Source organism: Homo sapiens, chromosome 2 (genome assembly GCF_000001405.40).
Source record: "Homo sapiens chromosome 2, GRCh38.p14 Primary Assembly".
In the NCBI taxonomy this organism is placed as follows: Eukaryota; Metazoa; Chordata; class Mammalia; order Primates; family Hominidae; genus Homo; species Homo sapiens.
In genome coordinates this window covers 79,021,512-79,036,514 of record NC_000002.12, presented here as the reverse complement: position 1 = coordinate 79,036,514, position 15,003 = coordinate 79,021,512, and the positions used below count along the sequence as shown (strand labels likewise).

Genomic DNA, 15,003 nt, shown 5'->3' with positions numbered 1-15,003 from the left:
ATTTTATTTTCTTTTTATTGTATTTAGAAAAAGCTATGTCAATGGGAGATATGCTCTCTTCTCTTTCCTTCTAAATACATGCATCCAGCCCTCCCCACCAATGTAAGGGACTTTAAAGAGAATAACCTATGAAAACATGTTTTTTTCATGATGGACAGAAGAAGCAAGAAACATACACTTGCTGAACTATCGAAACAACCTGGGACTATTGCAGTTAGCATTGCATTTATCTAATTAGGACAATACACCATAGATCTATCTTCACTACTTTCACAGGATGGAGAACATGGTCACCCATACAGCCTAGAGCACTGGAGGAGCTATTAACACTCCATCTTTGTAATCCACAGCTATACATTAGGCAAATGGTGGGTTGGACTGCTCTGTCATCCACTTTAAAACCAGTGAAGGCGTTGGGGAACAGGATACCAGGGACCATTGTCATTATTTGTTTTTTAATCATGCTACCTTCAAATAGGCTTCTTTTCCTTTTTTAATGCATGGGATTAAAACATTCTCTTTTTCTTTCTTTTTTTTTTTTTTTTTTTTTTTTCAAGACCAGAGTATCACTCTGTGGCCCAGGCTGAACTGCACAGTCTTGGCTCACTGCAACCTCTGCCTCCCAGGTTGGAGAATTCTCCTGCCTCAGCCTCACAAGTAGCTGGGATTATGGGCACATGCCACCATGCCCAGCTAATTTTTGTATTATTAACAGACACGGGGTTTCACCGTGTTGGCCAGGCTGGTCTCGAACTCCTGGCCTCAAGTAATCTGCCTGCCTTAACCTCCCAAAGTGCTGGTATTACAGACGAGAGCCACTGAGCCCAGCCCTGGATTCAAAAGTTCTTAATTCTTCCAGGGGAACAGTAAGAAAATCCTGAAAGTCCTACTACACCTATTAAAGAAATTCCATTTATATTTTAAAATATTCTCACAAAGAAAGCTTTAGGTCCAGAGTTTTCAAGAGTTCTACAAACTACCAAGAAACAGATATTTCTAATCATATACAAACTGTTTTAGGGAATAAAGAAAAAAGCAAACCCTAACTAATTATGTGACAGATAATAATATAAAAAATCTCCACCAAAAGTACTAAATGGACATATAGTCAATTTTCAGGTGGGTCTGGGTTCTTCTTTTATTGCAGATAGGCAGGCTGTCTTGGAACAGGTATAGGGAACTTGCCAAATATCAATTAATACACTGCCTATTCATCTTATCTATTTATTTGAAAATCAAAATCCCTGCATAAACATTTCCAGATTAAGCAAATATATGATATTTGGGACACACTTACACTGAGAAACTATTTGCTGGTCACCTACATTTAAGTTTAACTGGGACTGTGCTTTTATTTTATCTCACAGACCTACATATGCAGCAATGCTGAGTTGTCCCAGGTCCCTGTAGATGTCTGTCAGCATTCCATGCCTGTTCAAATGAGGGCATTTGGCCAATTACTCCATTTTTACACAAGATATAAAGCTAGGAGTGTGATGTCAGTGATGTGGTGAGTAATATAATGATCTAAATATATTTAAATTCATTGAAAATCTGGTCTTTCTTCTTTTTTCATCTAAGTGGTGCTTTTCAAATAAAGCATTATTTATTCCATTTTTTATTTATTCAATAAATATTAACAGAAATCATGCCAAATAATGTCTTACTAACTCCAGTCCTGACTGAGGCGAGAATATGTTTCTAGGCCACAGGATAAAAAACCCACTGGGGCGTTTCGTGACACTAACTTAAGAAAGTGAGTCTATTCAGTCCTGTAGGAACAAGGCAACTAACCATGTAGTTCGTGGAATGATCCTGGCTCTCAAGCCTGTGTGCTACTTGTTCATGGCAAGGTAGGCACAGAAATTGAAGGATTTTAGAAAAATGTATACCAACATGATAATTAATTTTTATTGAATCAAAAAATTAAAAAAACAAAAAGGTCGTACATATGTTTTTGTTTTACATTTCATTTTTTATTTATTTTTTAAAAATTTAATTCCTAGAATAGTTTTAGATTTACAAAGTTATTGTATAGCTGTACTTGCTTCTATTTTCTGAAAGAAATTATAAACAACTGGTATTTCTTTTTTATATGTTTAGTAGAATTCACCAGTAAAATGATCTACACCTGTGTTTTCTTTTGGAAGGATTTAAATTACTGATTAAATTTATTTAATGAATGTAGGCCTATTGAGATTATCTATTTCTACTTGAGTTTTAATGATTTGTATCTTTCAAGAAACTAATTTGTTTTTTCTAAATTACAAATTTTGGGACATAGAGTTGTTTGTAGTATTCCTTTACTATCTTTTAAAAATTATTATTATACTTTAAGTTCTGGGATACATATGCATAATGTGCAGGTTTGTTACATAGGTATACACATGCTATGGTTGTTTGCTGCACTCATCAACACATCATCTACATTAGGTATTTTTTCCTAATGCTATCCCTCCCCTAGGTCCCCACCCCCAGACAGGTCCCGGTGTGTGATGTTTCCCTCCCTGTGTCCATGTGTTTCAATTGTTCAACTCCCACTTATGAGCGAGAACATGCAGTGTTTGGTTTTCTGTTCCTGAGTTAGTTTGCTGAGAATGATGGTTTCCAGCTTCATCCATGTCCCTGCAAAGGACAATTAACTCATTCTTTTTTATGGCTGCATAGTATTCCATGGTATATATTTGCCACATTTTCTTTATCCAGTCTATCAATGATGGGCATTTGGGTTGGTTCCAAGTCTTTGCTATTGTGAATAGTGCTGCAATAAACATACATGTGCATGTATCTTTATCATAGAATAATTTATAATCCTTTGTGTATATACCCAGTAATGGGATTGCTGGGTCAAATGGTATTTCTGGTTCTAGATCCTTGAGGAATTGTCACACTGTCTTCCACAATGGTTGAACTAATTTACACTCCCACCGACAGTGTAAAAGTGTTCCTATTTCTCCACATCCTCTCCAGCATCTGTTGTTTCCTGACTTTTTAATGATAGCCATTCTAACTGGCGTGAGATGGTATCTCATTGTGGTTTTGATTTGCATTTCTTTAATGATCAGTGATGATGAGCTTTTTTTCATATATTTGTTGGCTGCATAAATGTTTTCTTTGGAGAAGTGTCTGTTCATATCCTTCGCTCACTTTTTGATGGGGTTGTTTGTTTTTTTCTTGTAAATTTGTTTAAGTTCTTTGTAGATTCTGGATATTAGCCATTTGTCAGATGGACAGATTGCAAAAATTTTCTCCCATTCAGTAGTTTGCAAATTGACAAATTGGATCTAATTAAACTAAAGAGCTTCAGCACAGCAAAAGAAACTATCATCAGAGTGAACAGGCAACCTACTATCTTTTTTTCATTGGTGGTTTCAGTAGTGATGACCTCTGTATTAGGTTCCTATTGCTACTGTAGCAAATTCCCTGAAACACAGCTGCTTAAACAGCATACATTTATTTTCTTTCAGTACTGAAGAACAGAAGTCGTCAAGACATTTACAGGTCTAAAATCAAGATGTTGGCATGACTCGTTCCTTCTGGAGGCACGAGAAGAAAATCCATTCTTGCCTATTCCAGCTTTTAGAGGCTGCATGTGGCCCTTTCAGCCATCTTCAAATAAAGCTGCATAATCTTTTGTCTCCCCTCTGACTTTCTGCCTCCCTGTCATAAAGACCTTGTGATTGTACTCATGCATCCAGAATAATCACCCTATCTTAAGATTCTTAATGCAATCACATCTGCAAAGTCAATTTTGCCATGTAAGGTACCAACATATTCATAAATTCCAGGAAGAAGGTCTTTGGAGGGAGGCCGTTTTTCAGCTTCCCTTGATCTCTTTTTCATTTCTGACATTACTAAATTGCACCACCTTATTTTATTCATGGTTAGTCTGCCTAAAGATGCCTACATTTTATTGACCTTTTAAATCAGTTTTTTATTTTATTATTTTTCCCATTGTTTTTCTCTTTTTAAATTCATTGATTTCTATTCTATTATTATGTTTCTTCTTCCGCTTGCTTTACAATTAAATAGCCTTTATTTCTCCAGTTTCCTAAAGAGTACGTTTGGATTACTTATTTTAGATCATTTTTTCTTTTCTAATATATTCATCTAATATTATATATTTTCTTCTAAACACTGCTTTCATCATATACCACAAATTTTAATAAGTTGTATTTTCATTTTCATTTAGTTCAAACTATTTTTTTAAAATTTCTCTGTGACTTCTATTTTTCCATGTGTTATTTAGAAATGTGTTGTTTTAACTCCAAATATTTTGGAATCTCCCATCTGTGTTCCTGTTTTTGATTTCCAGTTTAATTCCACTGTGATCTGACAGCATATTTTCTATGATTTCTATACTTTTAAATTTGTTAAGGTGTAATTCATGCCTGGGAATGTGGTCTATTTTGGTAAATGCTCCATGTGACTGTGAGAAAAATGTGTATTATGCTGTTGGATGCAGTATTCTTTAAGTGTCAGTTAGAACAAGTTGAATGATAATGCTATTCAGGTCAACCCTGTTCCTAATTTTCTGCTTACTTGTTCTATCAATTACAAAAAAAGAACTGTTGAAGTCTCTAAGTACAAAAAAGATTTCCCTAGTTCTCCTTGTAATTGTGTAAGTAATTGTCTCTTGCATCTTGTTCTCTTGTTAGGTACATACATGTCAAACATTGTTAGGTCATTTTGGAGAATTGACCCCTTTTATCATTTTGTAATGCCTGTCTTGATTCCAAATAATATTTATATACTTTTCTGAAATCTGATTTGTCTGAAGTTAAAATACTACTCAAGCTTTCTTTTGATTAATGTTGGCATGGTATATCTTCCTCCATCCCTTTACTTTGATCAGACCTGAGGACGTATCTCGCACATCACATTTTATGATAGACAATGTACAGTAGGGTCTTTCTTAAAAAAAATCCCTCTGACAATCTCTTTCTTTCAATTGATACATTTAGATCACCCAAGTTTAAAGTGATTATTGATATAGTTGGAATAGTATTTATCATGTTTATAACTGTTTTCTATAAGATCACTTACTCTGTTCAGTTTTTTTCTTCCCTTTTTATGCATTCTCTGGTTTCAATTGAACAATTTATATGATTCTATTTTATTCACTCTCTTATACCTTAATTGTATTTTATTTTAAATTTTTATAGCAGTTGCTATAGAGTTTGCAATATACATTTACAACTAATGCAAGTCCACTGTCAAATAATATATAGTACTTCACATATAGCACAGAAACTTAGAACAAAGCACTCCAAATTTCTCCATCTCACCCCTTATGACATTGCTGTCATTCATCTCACTTGTTCATGTGCTGCACTCACAGAAGACAATTACTATATTTCCTTTAGGCCAATGGTTATCTATTAGCTTGATGAAAAATAAGGTAAATAAAATATTTCATTTAACTTTTTTATGACTTTTTTAAACACTCTTTAAATAGATCTGAGTTTCAGACCTATATCATTTCCCTTCTCCCAAAAAAAACTTCTTTCAATATTTCTTCCCAAGTAGTTCTGCTAAAAATGAATTCCCTTTTTTGTTTGTCAGAGAAAGTCTTTTATTTGTCATTCACTTTTGAAGGATAATTTTGCTGGCTATAAAATTCTAGTTTGGTCATTATGCCTTCCAATTCGTTACGTAGTTTATTCCCCTAATGGTTTCTGATGACAAATCTATTCTAATTCTTGTCCTTGACCCTCTATGGGTAAGCTGTCCCCCAAACTCTCTGGATTCTTTCAAGATTTTCTCTTAGTCTTTGGTTTTCTGAAGATTGAATAGGATATGCCTAGGATTGGTTTTTTGATATTTATTGTACTTGCTGTTCTCTGAGCTTCTTGGATCTAGGGTTTAGTGTCTGTCATTAACTTTGGAAAATGCATGATCGTTATTACTTTAAATTTTTCTTTTGTTTCTTTTTCTTCTCCTTCTTATATTGAAATTATATACATATTAGAGTTTAAAAATTATCCCACAGTTCTTAGATATTCGTTCTGCTCATTCACTCTATTTTCTCTTTGCATTTCAGTTTGAGAAGTTTCTGTTGAGCTATTTTCAAGCTTACTGATTCTTTACTTGGCCAGGTCCAGTTTACAGATAAGCCCTTCAAAAACATCCTGTTTGGGAGGCCGAGGCGGGTGGATCACCTGAGGTCAGGAGTTCGAGACCAGCCTGGCCTCTGGTCTCTGGTAAAACCTGGTCTCTACTAAAAATACAAAAATTAGCTGGGTGTGGTGACAGGCGCCTGTACTCCCAGCTACTCGGGAGGCTGAGGCAGGAAAATCGCTTGAACTCAGGAGGCAGAGGTTGCAGTGAGCCGAGATTGTGCCACTGCACTCCAGCCTGGGTGACAGACCGAGACTCCATCTCTAAAAAAAAAAAAAATTCCTTTGTTTCTATTATATTGCTTTTGATGTGTAGCATTATCTTTTGATTCTGTTATACAGTTTCTATTTTTCTGCATATATTATGCATCTTTTCTTTCCCATTGTCCATTTTCTTCATCAAAGCCCTTATCACATCAATCATAGTTATTTTAAGTTTCCTAATAGTTCCAAAATCTGTACCATATTTGAGTCTGGTTTTCATGTTTGTTTTATCTCTTCAGACTATGCTTTTTCTTATTGTTCAGCAAAATTTTTAGTTTCTCTTGAAAGCTTCACTTGATGTATTGAGTAATAACAACTGAAGTAAAAGACCTTTCGTGTAAGGCTTTTCATTAATCTCACTAGGATTTAGTTTGTGTTTAATGTTTGCTATAGCTGTAGGTGCAAGAGGCTTAAAATTTCTCTTGTGTCCTTGTTTTTGTCTCTCCTATTGCCTTTGTCATTTCCTAATAATTCTTCCTTAAGTAGTGTACCTTGCAGCTCCTCAATTGTGATCTATTGTCATTAAACTGGATCCCTATTGATGTGGTAGTGTCTGAGCAAGGGGAAGTATCATATAATTTTATGATTAAATCTCAGTATTTTTGTGAGTCTATGCCCCATGGCCATGACTTTCAAAAATGTTTCTTAGGTCTCTTTCTGTTAGGTAAGATGAGAAGGCTAGATGTGGCTGGAGTGGACGTAAATGCACTCATGCTTAGGCATGATACGAAGCTCATAAGGTCTTTTTACCTGGAAGTAGGTCTTTGTTATTGAGAATGCTCTGGGCTGATTTAGAAATGGTTTCTTTTCTACTCTTCCTGACAAAGCCATGAGAGAATTATTTTTGACTCTCCACGAAGAGAACCTGTTGGGATTCCTGAAGGTAAAATCCATGAAGGCGTGAGGGCTTTCATAGGAGTGCAACTTCCGTGAGTTTCTCACTCTTAATGCCAAGCTGCACTCAACATCCAGCAATTTTTCAAAATCACCATTTAAATGTTCCTAACAGCTTGTAGCTCTAGAGGCTTTTGCTCCAGGTAAGCAGAAATGTAAACAACTCTGTGTATTTGGGTGCTTTTCCAGATATTGGGGTATCAACTTGCCCTGCTACCTCAGTTCTCTCATTAGCCCAAAGGAAAGTTGTTGATTTTAAGTTTATTCAGATTTTTCTTGTTTTAAAGAAAAGAGTAACAGTTTCCAAAGCTCTCTATGTCAACACTGTAACCAGAAGTTTAAGTAATTCATTTTTTACTGTATTTTACAAAAGTCACCATGCAAGGTAGATTGCAAATTAATGAAAAAAAAAGATCCTTCACAGAAAATTATTTGAGAAGTTCTGTTTTAAGTAATATCAGACTCCCCTAGGGCTGATTGTGTCACAACGTCAGGGACAATGTGTGGGCAGTGAGTGTGTGGGGAAGCACTGTCTTCATGTCTTCATGACACAAACCCTGTCTGAGCAGGGCCCGCACCTTCATCACAAATACACTGATGGGGACACTCATATAGTAATTTCACCTTAGGCCTGGGTGAAATTGGGAGGAGCCAAGACTCAGTGTTTTTTTCTCCCCCAACTTCTCCCTCCTCTTCCAAAGGCTCTTACTATAAGAATGAAACAAAAGCATATACGTATAAAGTAACATTTTTATTATTATTCTCTGAGATCTCAAGACATGGAAGACAGAGAAAAGCCTGAAATGAAGGTGAAGAAAAAGGAAAAAGAAGGAGGATCATGACAAGGTAGTCAGGTAGGGCAGTTTGGGGAGAATATTCTCTTCCAGGGTGAGTCTTCACACTGGTCTCATGTCCATGATGAGCTGCACGCCAAGCTCAGGCTGCTGACTTCCCACCTGCCCTAGTCCTTGAACTTGCAGACATAGGGTAACTTTGCATCACAGTTATAATCTTTCCACTTCAGAAATCCTAGGGAGACAGAATATAAAAGGCATGGGGCTGGGGGAACTTGTGAACCCAGTGAAGAGGCATCCCAGGTTTTAGCCTAGGATTTAAAGCTTCTCTCTCATCTTCACCAGTTTCTCAATCCAGGAGAATGAGACTCAAAGAAGGCAGAGATGAGAGGAGACGGGAGAAGGCACATAAACACTGCATTACCTAGCTGAAAAGGATTTCCTGAAGGTCAGGAAATTGGGGATGAGGAGTGGAAAGTGCTGGGAAGAGGCAGCTCTTCTGTTTCTTACCTGTGCTTCTTGACAGGCTCCCACAGTGGCCAGGGTTTAAGATGGTGGAGGGATTTTTCTCCCATGCAAAGTAATTCATCACATCAGTGCTACTCCACTCCCATCCATCTCCATCAGGCTCAGAGCCCTATAGAGAAGAGGAGGCAGCCAGGTGAAGAAAATGGCCATTGCAGGTCTCTTTGCATGGCCCCTGAGCTGTAACACCTGATTCCTCCCCAGCATCAGGGATTTTGGTCTGATCTTCCAGATGCTGCCCTAGAGTCCTCTGCACTGGAATCTTTTCCTTAACTCCTCATTGCTTTGGGAAAATCCCAACCAATAAACACAAGAACTTTGGAATCACTCAAGGTAATATGTTACTTGCAGAACAATAATTGGTGTAGCATTTGTGATTAGCCTGCGAACCTCAAAGATAATGTCTATTCTGTATGGGGGCAAAATTTGATCCTATCTTAATTTAGAATTCCCTCAGAATAATAGATACAGACTCCCTGAAGCTCAGATAATTGATTTGTAAGGATTCCCTTGAGAATTATGTAAAAGTTTTACAAGAGTCCGACTAATTTTCTTTAAAGACTAGGGATCTCCGTAGAATTCAGCTCTTCAGCTGCCTCATGGACTTCCTATTCTCCCAAATGTCCCCCAGAATCTGAGCTCCAGTGCTCCCTAAAGTACTTCCTGGGCAGGGACTGGGGACAGGGAGTGCGCCTGGGCAACAACAGTACCTTGAGAGGTAACAGAGAGGGGAGGATATACTCGCACCTGTGTGGGGTCATGGAGCCCAATCCAGATGTATGAATAGCTGTTACTAATGCTCCTCACCAGGGAGGACACGAAGGATCCCTCAGCCCCACTGAGCACAGACACCAGTTTTCCAGAGGGCCGCTTCTGGCAAGCCAGCTTTGAGGGGGACAAAGAGAATGAGATGGAGCCTGAGACCCACTGAGGGAGGGCAGGGAAAAGGTAGGTGGGAGGAGGACTGTGTGAAAGATAAGCGTGTTCATCCTCATTCCCAAGGAACTCTCCTGAAGGAGACCCTCCTCCCCCTGAGACCTGCATGGACTTTCCCCTATCACCTCCAACCCCACATCTAACCACTCACATCTGCATCCATCCAGGATTTTGGTGACAAAAACAAGGCATAGCAGGGGGAGCCATAGGCCTTGGAGCCTTTGGGACAGCTGATCCGTGGAGAGGGCAGTTCCTTCTGGGTTTCTTCACCTGGGGTGGAAGAAAAGGGAGAGAGTAAAATGAAGAGTAGGGGGTGGGTGGGAGATGACCTTGGGGAATATCTAGGTCTGCCCTTGGGGAGGAAGACCACATTCCTGACAGCTCTTCATCTTCCCTTGTGTTTTCAGAAGTTCTTTATCTCAAAATAGCCCTACTAAATGGGCCACCATCTAGTCTGTTATTACCCTTTCCCCTTATTCAACCATTCAACACTCTCTTCACTGTGGGCTATCTCTATATTGGGTCCTCCAATCATTGTCCCTCCCCACATCTCATTGCTGACCCTCCACACTTTCCCACCAGTGTATATTAGAGTCCACTGACTAAATGGAAGCCATCTCATTCCATTGTTAGTGGACCACAGTGGAGCCTCCCACTGCAAGTTAACATGAAGGAAGGAGTGATGATGCAGGAACTGCAGGCAGTTTCATTAGACACCACGTCATTACCTCACGTGACACACAGGAGCCTTCCTCCTTTTCTTGGCTCTGAGGATTCATAGGGAACCCAGTGCTAGAGGCAGAGAAATCTCACCTTGAACCTGACACAGGAGAATGAGGCAGGAAAGCAGCATCCAGGACACACTGGGCAGGGCCATGGGAGGCAGCATAGTGTCTGCGACTTGAGGAGGCAATCGGGTCACTAAAGGAAGTGTGGTCAGCGGGAGGACACACAGATATCCTACTGCCTCTTGTCTTTTTCCTTCTGTAGTCCCCTAGGACTGAAGTGATCTTGGTCACATTCATCATCTTCTACAGTTCTGAATGAGCTGTGAATCTGTGTACTCACCCATCCCTGAGACCTCCCAGTACAGCCTTGCTGAGTCTCAGAGCTCCTGTGCTCCCTGAGGAAGGGACCCTCCCATGCGTTCTCCTGTATTATGTGAGGTTGCCCTTCCACAGGTCTCATCTTCTCTCAGCTCCCACTTACCTCTCTGGTGAGATCTGGTATGCTTTGTCTGGTCAGCAAAGACTGGGTTTTTTATAAAAAGATCTCAGGGATGGTCACTGGAGTGAATAACGGCAATATGTAGGCGGGACAGGGGTCATGGAGAGGGCTTGGCATTGGTTCAAAAAGATTATGCCAAGGGGAGGAGACTCTTCCTGGCAAAGGCTGGGAATTGTTACAGATGTTGCCTTTTTCTCTGTAGCAGGCCGGCACTTTCCCCACAAACAGTTGAAGTTTGCACTTTTCCCACCCTCTTCCAGATATCTTCTTCTGAGAAACTTAAGGGAATAAAGGCAGTCTTGTGAGCCTGGTATTATATAGTTTAGAAAATATTATGATATTACATAGTTATGAGAAATGTCAAAAGTTTGTTTTTGATCAACGTGCCAGGAGCTCACTTCTATAGGCATACATATGAATTCCTTTATACCTTATCTAGTAACATTTAAAATAAATTAATAAATAAAAATTGGGTGGGCATTAAAATTAGATGTGTTGGCAAAGACAATGTATTAGTCGAAATAAAGAAACAATAGAAACCAGAAGCAGCAGCACTGGTTCAGTGTTGCTACTTCAACTTCACAGCAAGATGTAAAAGAAGCTTGAAATAATCTTGTGAGTCATTAGGCAAGCCAGGGTCTTATGGAACAGCAGTTAAATAGATTTGCCTTCCAGCTACCTTTGTGTGAGAAGACCAAGAGATAGTTCCTTGGTTTATTGTAGTTCTGCGCTGACAGTTTGATATCTCAGAGTAGCGTTCTTAGATTGTGATCTACACACCAATGGGGGTCTTCAGGGCCTGTTTGGAGTGGTTGTGCAGTTATAATTTTCATAATTATACTAAAGTGTTATTCGTCATTTTCGCTATGTTGACATTTGCACTGATGAGGCAAAATAAATGGTGGATAGAAGTTCTGGTGCCTTAACATCAATCAAGGCAGTGGCACCAAATTGCATTGCTCATATCCACGCACTTGCAAGAAACAAAATAAAGCCATTTTTACTTGAAAATGCCCTTGAACTTGATGAATCAGGGTAGTGAATTGGCTTCAGTAAATCTCAACCCTTGAATACATCTAGAGGGAATATTCTGTATGACTAAATGGGAAGCTGACATGCTAAAGTATAATGGTTGTCTTGAGGGAAATAATTTGTAACACTGAGTTTTAGTTCACTATTTCATGGAACACCATTTTTACTTGAAAAATAAACCAAGACAAACTTCACTTACTGACATATGGGTCTTTTGTTAACATGTTTTCAAAAAAGTTCAAAGTGAGTTAGTAAATGAATATTTTTAACTTTTCTCTTTTACTATATATTATTATAAATATCAATAGCTCACATGAACAAAATTTTTTTTCGAGTGTCCTCAATATTTTTTAAGAGTGTTAAAGGGTCCTGAGATCAAAACAGTTTGAGATCTCTGGTTAACATCTAGCTGGCAATTTCCAGAAAATATAGGACATGGGGATGGTATTATATTACAACACAGGAATACCATCAGCAAAATTTAGAAGGTGGGAAATTCTACAGGACAAATAAGTACATTTCCCCAGCAAGTGAATTTAAGGAAATAAAACAACATCTCACTCTTAACATGTGAAAAATATATCAATCAAATAAAATGTGTGAACCATGTTTGGATCTTGATTTGAACAAATTAAATAAAAAATATAATTATAAAACAATTGGGTAAAAGTGAGCATTTGATAATGTTAAAGGACTATATCATGTTCAGATGTAATTATAATATTGAAATAATATTATTTAAAGTATCCTTATCATTTAAGATACATAACACAATATTTACAGATGAAATGGTTATTCAGAATTTACTTCAAAATAATCAAGCATGATAGAGATAAAGAAAGAGAGAGACAGATAAAACAAGAGAGGACTTGAGGTCATGAGAGTTGTTGCTTGGTGGTAGGTACATAATGATTCATAACACTATTGTCTTTGGGTTTTTATCTAAAATATTGGTGGAAAATTTTGAGAAAAAGAAAAATTCAGGGCCATCGTGAGAAAGAAATTTGAAGGACAATCTGACTCAAGAACACAGATGCAAAGTTCCTGAACAAAACACAAAACAAATTGAATTCATTGTTTTATATAATAAATGAAGAGAAAGAAGAGTTAATCTTGGAAATGTAATGATAGTTTATTATGATGAACTATTAATGCAATTTCCAAGTTCAGAAGTTAAAAGGGAAAAAAATATATAGTCATTTTAAAAGAACAAAATTGTTAAGTGAAATTCAAAACCTATTAGTAACTGATAAAAAGTCTTAAAAACCAGAGTTAGACAGGAATAGCTTTAACACAGTAAAGAAATCTATAGAGACTCAAAAGTAAACTACTGACAAGACTTCCTTAAAAAATCAGAAATATACAAATGTACCACCCTCATTGATTCTATTTAACAATATCGTGTGATAGAAAGTACACTTAGAAAAGAAAAAAAAATTTAAACAGGGAAAAAGTAAATTAAGTTGTCACTATTTGCATATGACATGCTGTCTCCATAGAAAACCCAGAAGACTCTTCAAATTAGTTGTTAGAATTAATGGATAAATTTAGTAAACAAGAAGAATGTGAGATCAACATATAAATCCCAAATGAACATTTGTATTCCAACAATAGAGTTAGAAAGGGTATTTTTAAGAAAGATACTGTTTTTAATAGGAAGAAAAATATAAAGGATCTAGAAATATATCCGACAAAAATAGTCAAGACCATGTAAAACTTTTTAAACTTTAAAGAAGACTTTAATATACGAAGAAATATATCATGTTTTAGAGAGACAGATTCAATATCCTGAAGAGGTTACTTTTCCCTACACAGATGGTCTGTGATTTATGATAGTTCTACTTATAATTTTTCTACCGTATCATGGTGGGAAAGTGATATGCATTCCCTAGAAGGCTTATATCAGATTTTGAATACTGGTCTTTTACTGGGCTAGCAGTATGCAGTACGGTACTCTCTCATGTTGCCTCAGCATAGGCAGCAAGCACTGCCCTGGTGGCAATACCATCTTGAAAGTAAACAGCTGATACTCCACAGTGTACTGTGTTTTCAGATGATTTTGCCCAACCATGAATGCCGGAGGTGTGCCTGGAGGCTATCTTAATAGCTGGCCATCAGAATTGGAAACTGGTACTTTAATCGTCAAGGGCTTGGCCCTTTCTCTCTTCCTCTTGGTAGATCGTTTTGAATCTCCATAATACCAATTGTACACAGGAGAATGAACTTCACTCAATTTTGTCCAGCAGTCCTCAAATTCCAGATAAACTTGAATGTATGGTGGGAGCAGAAGACATGGGTGTTTATCTTCTATTACCTGACTCTATGTCCCTACCTATTCAAAATGATCAGTTATGAATATGAATTTATCATTACTCTCCCCTTCAAACTTTACTGATGATTTCTCCATTATCTACTCTTCTGATTTCCTATTGGTACACAGAAAACTATCCCAAGGTTAGTGGCATAAAACAGTTTGTTATTACTTCTCATGGTTCTGTGAGGTGATTAGGATTGTCTGGGTGGTTCTCCCTTGGAAATCATGCAGTTGCATATAATGGCTGGAACTGGAGTCATATGAAGCATCAAATGGACTGGTCTTCGAAGATGATTACACACATGCTTAGCAGTTGATCTGAGAGATCTCTGCTAAAGAGGGGACTGCTAAAGAGAACTACAATGCAGTGGCCCTGTGCCTTGAACTTCTTACATCTTACAGCATGGAGGTGTCAGGATAGTAGAATTTCTTTTATTGTTGGTCAGGGCTCCAAGAGGGCAAAGCAGAAGCTGCTGGTCCTTTTGGGCTGGGTCATGAAATAACATAATGCTATTTCCATCATACTCTGTTGATCAAGCATGAGTTTGTATTCTCAGGACCTAGCACATTAAACTCTCAACAATACTTATTTAATAAATTAATATTTTTATTCACAATGATTTTAGCAATTATGTCAGCTGCTTTTAACCTCAAAATGTTACAGGCTGATAAGACTTCACTTTTAATTTTATTTCTTTCATTAAATCTGTTATTTTGAGTAGGTGACTTTATTCCCCCTGGACCTGTGTTTCTTAATTTTCCAGTGATGATGTTGGACAAAGACAGCATTGAGATATATTCTATAATTTTCCTATTATTGATCGGAATGCTGGAATATTATGAATGTGGGTTAAGAGATTTCCTGGAAAACAGTTACTGCTTCCATATTTAAACTCAG

The 15,003-nt window shown here is 37.5% G+C and overlaps 1 protein-coding gene across 6 annotated transcripts; it reads right to left on the bottom strand.

The window, feature by feature from the left end:
• Window positions 1-8,013: 8,013 nt before the first annotated feature.
• REG3G (regenerating family member 3 gamma) lies at window positions 8,014-10,813 on the bottom strand. 6 transcript variants are annotated; one of them, XM_005264135.3, is made up of 6 exons: window positions 10,601-10,813; window positions 10,346-10,532; window positions 9,684-9,802; window positions 9,344-9,481; window positions 8,582-8,708; window positions 8,014-8,306 (listed from the first exon to the last, which is right to left on the bottom strand). In XM_005264135.3, exons 2-6 carry the CDS (start codon window positions 10,419-10,421, stop codon window positions 8,239-8,241), a joined length of 528 nt encoding a protein of 175 aa, XP_005264192.1. In that variant the 5' UTR covers window positions 10,422-10,532; window positions 10,601-10,813; the 3' UTR covers window positions 8,014-8,238. The 6 variants fall into 6 exon arrangements, with proteins under 6 accessions (XP_005264192.1, NP_001008388.1, NP_940850.1 ...); NM_001008387.3 differs by having other exon boundaries at window positions 10,742-10,813; NM_198448.4 differs by having other exon boundaries at window positions 10,346-10,432; window positions 10,742-10,813.
• Between the last annotated feature and the right edge of the window lie 4,190 nt (window positions 10,814-15,003).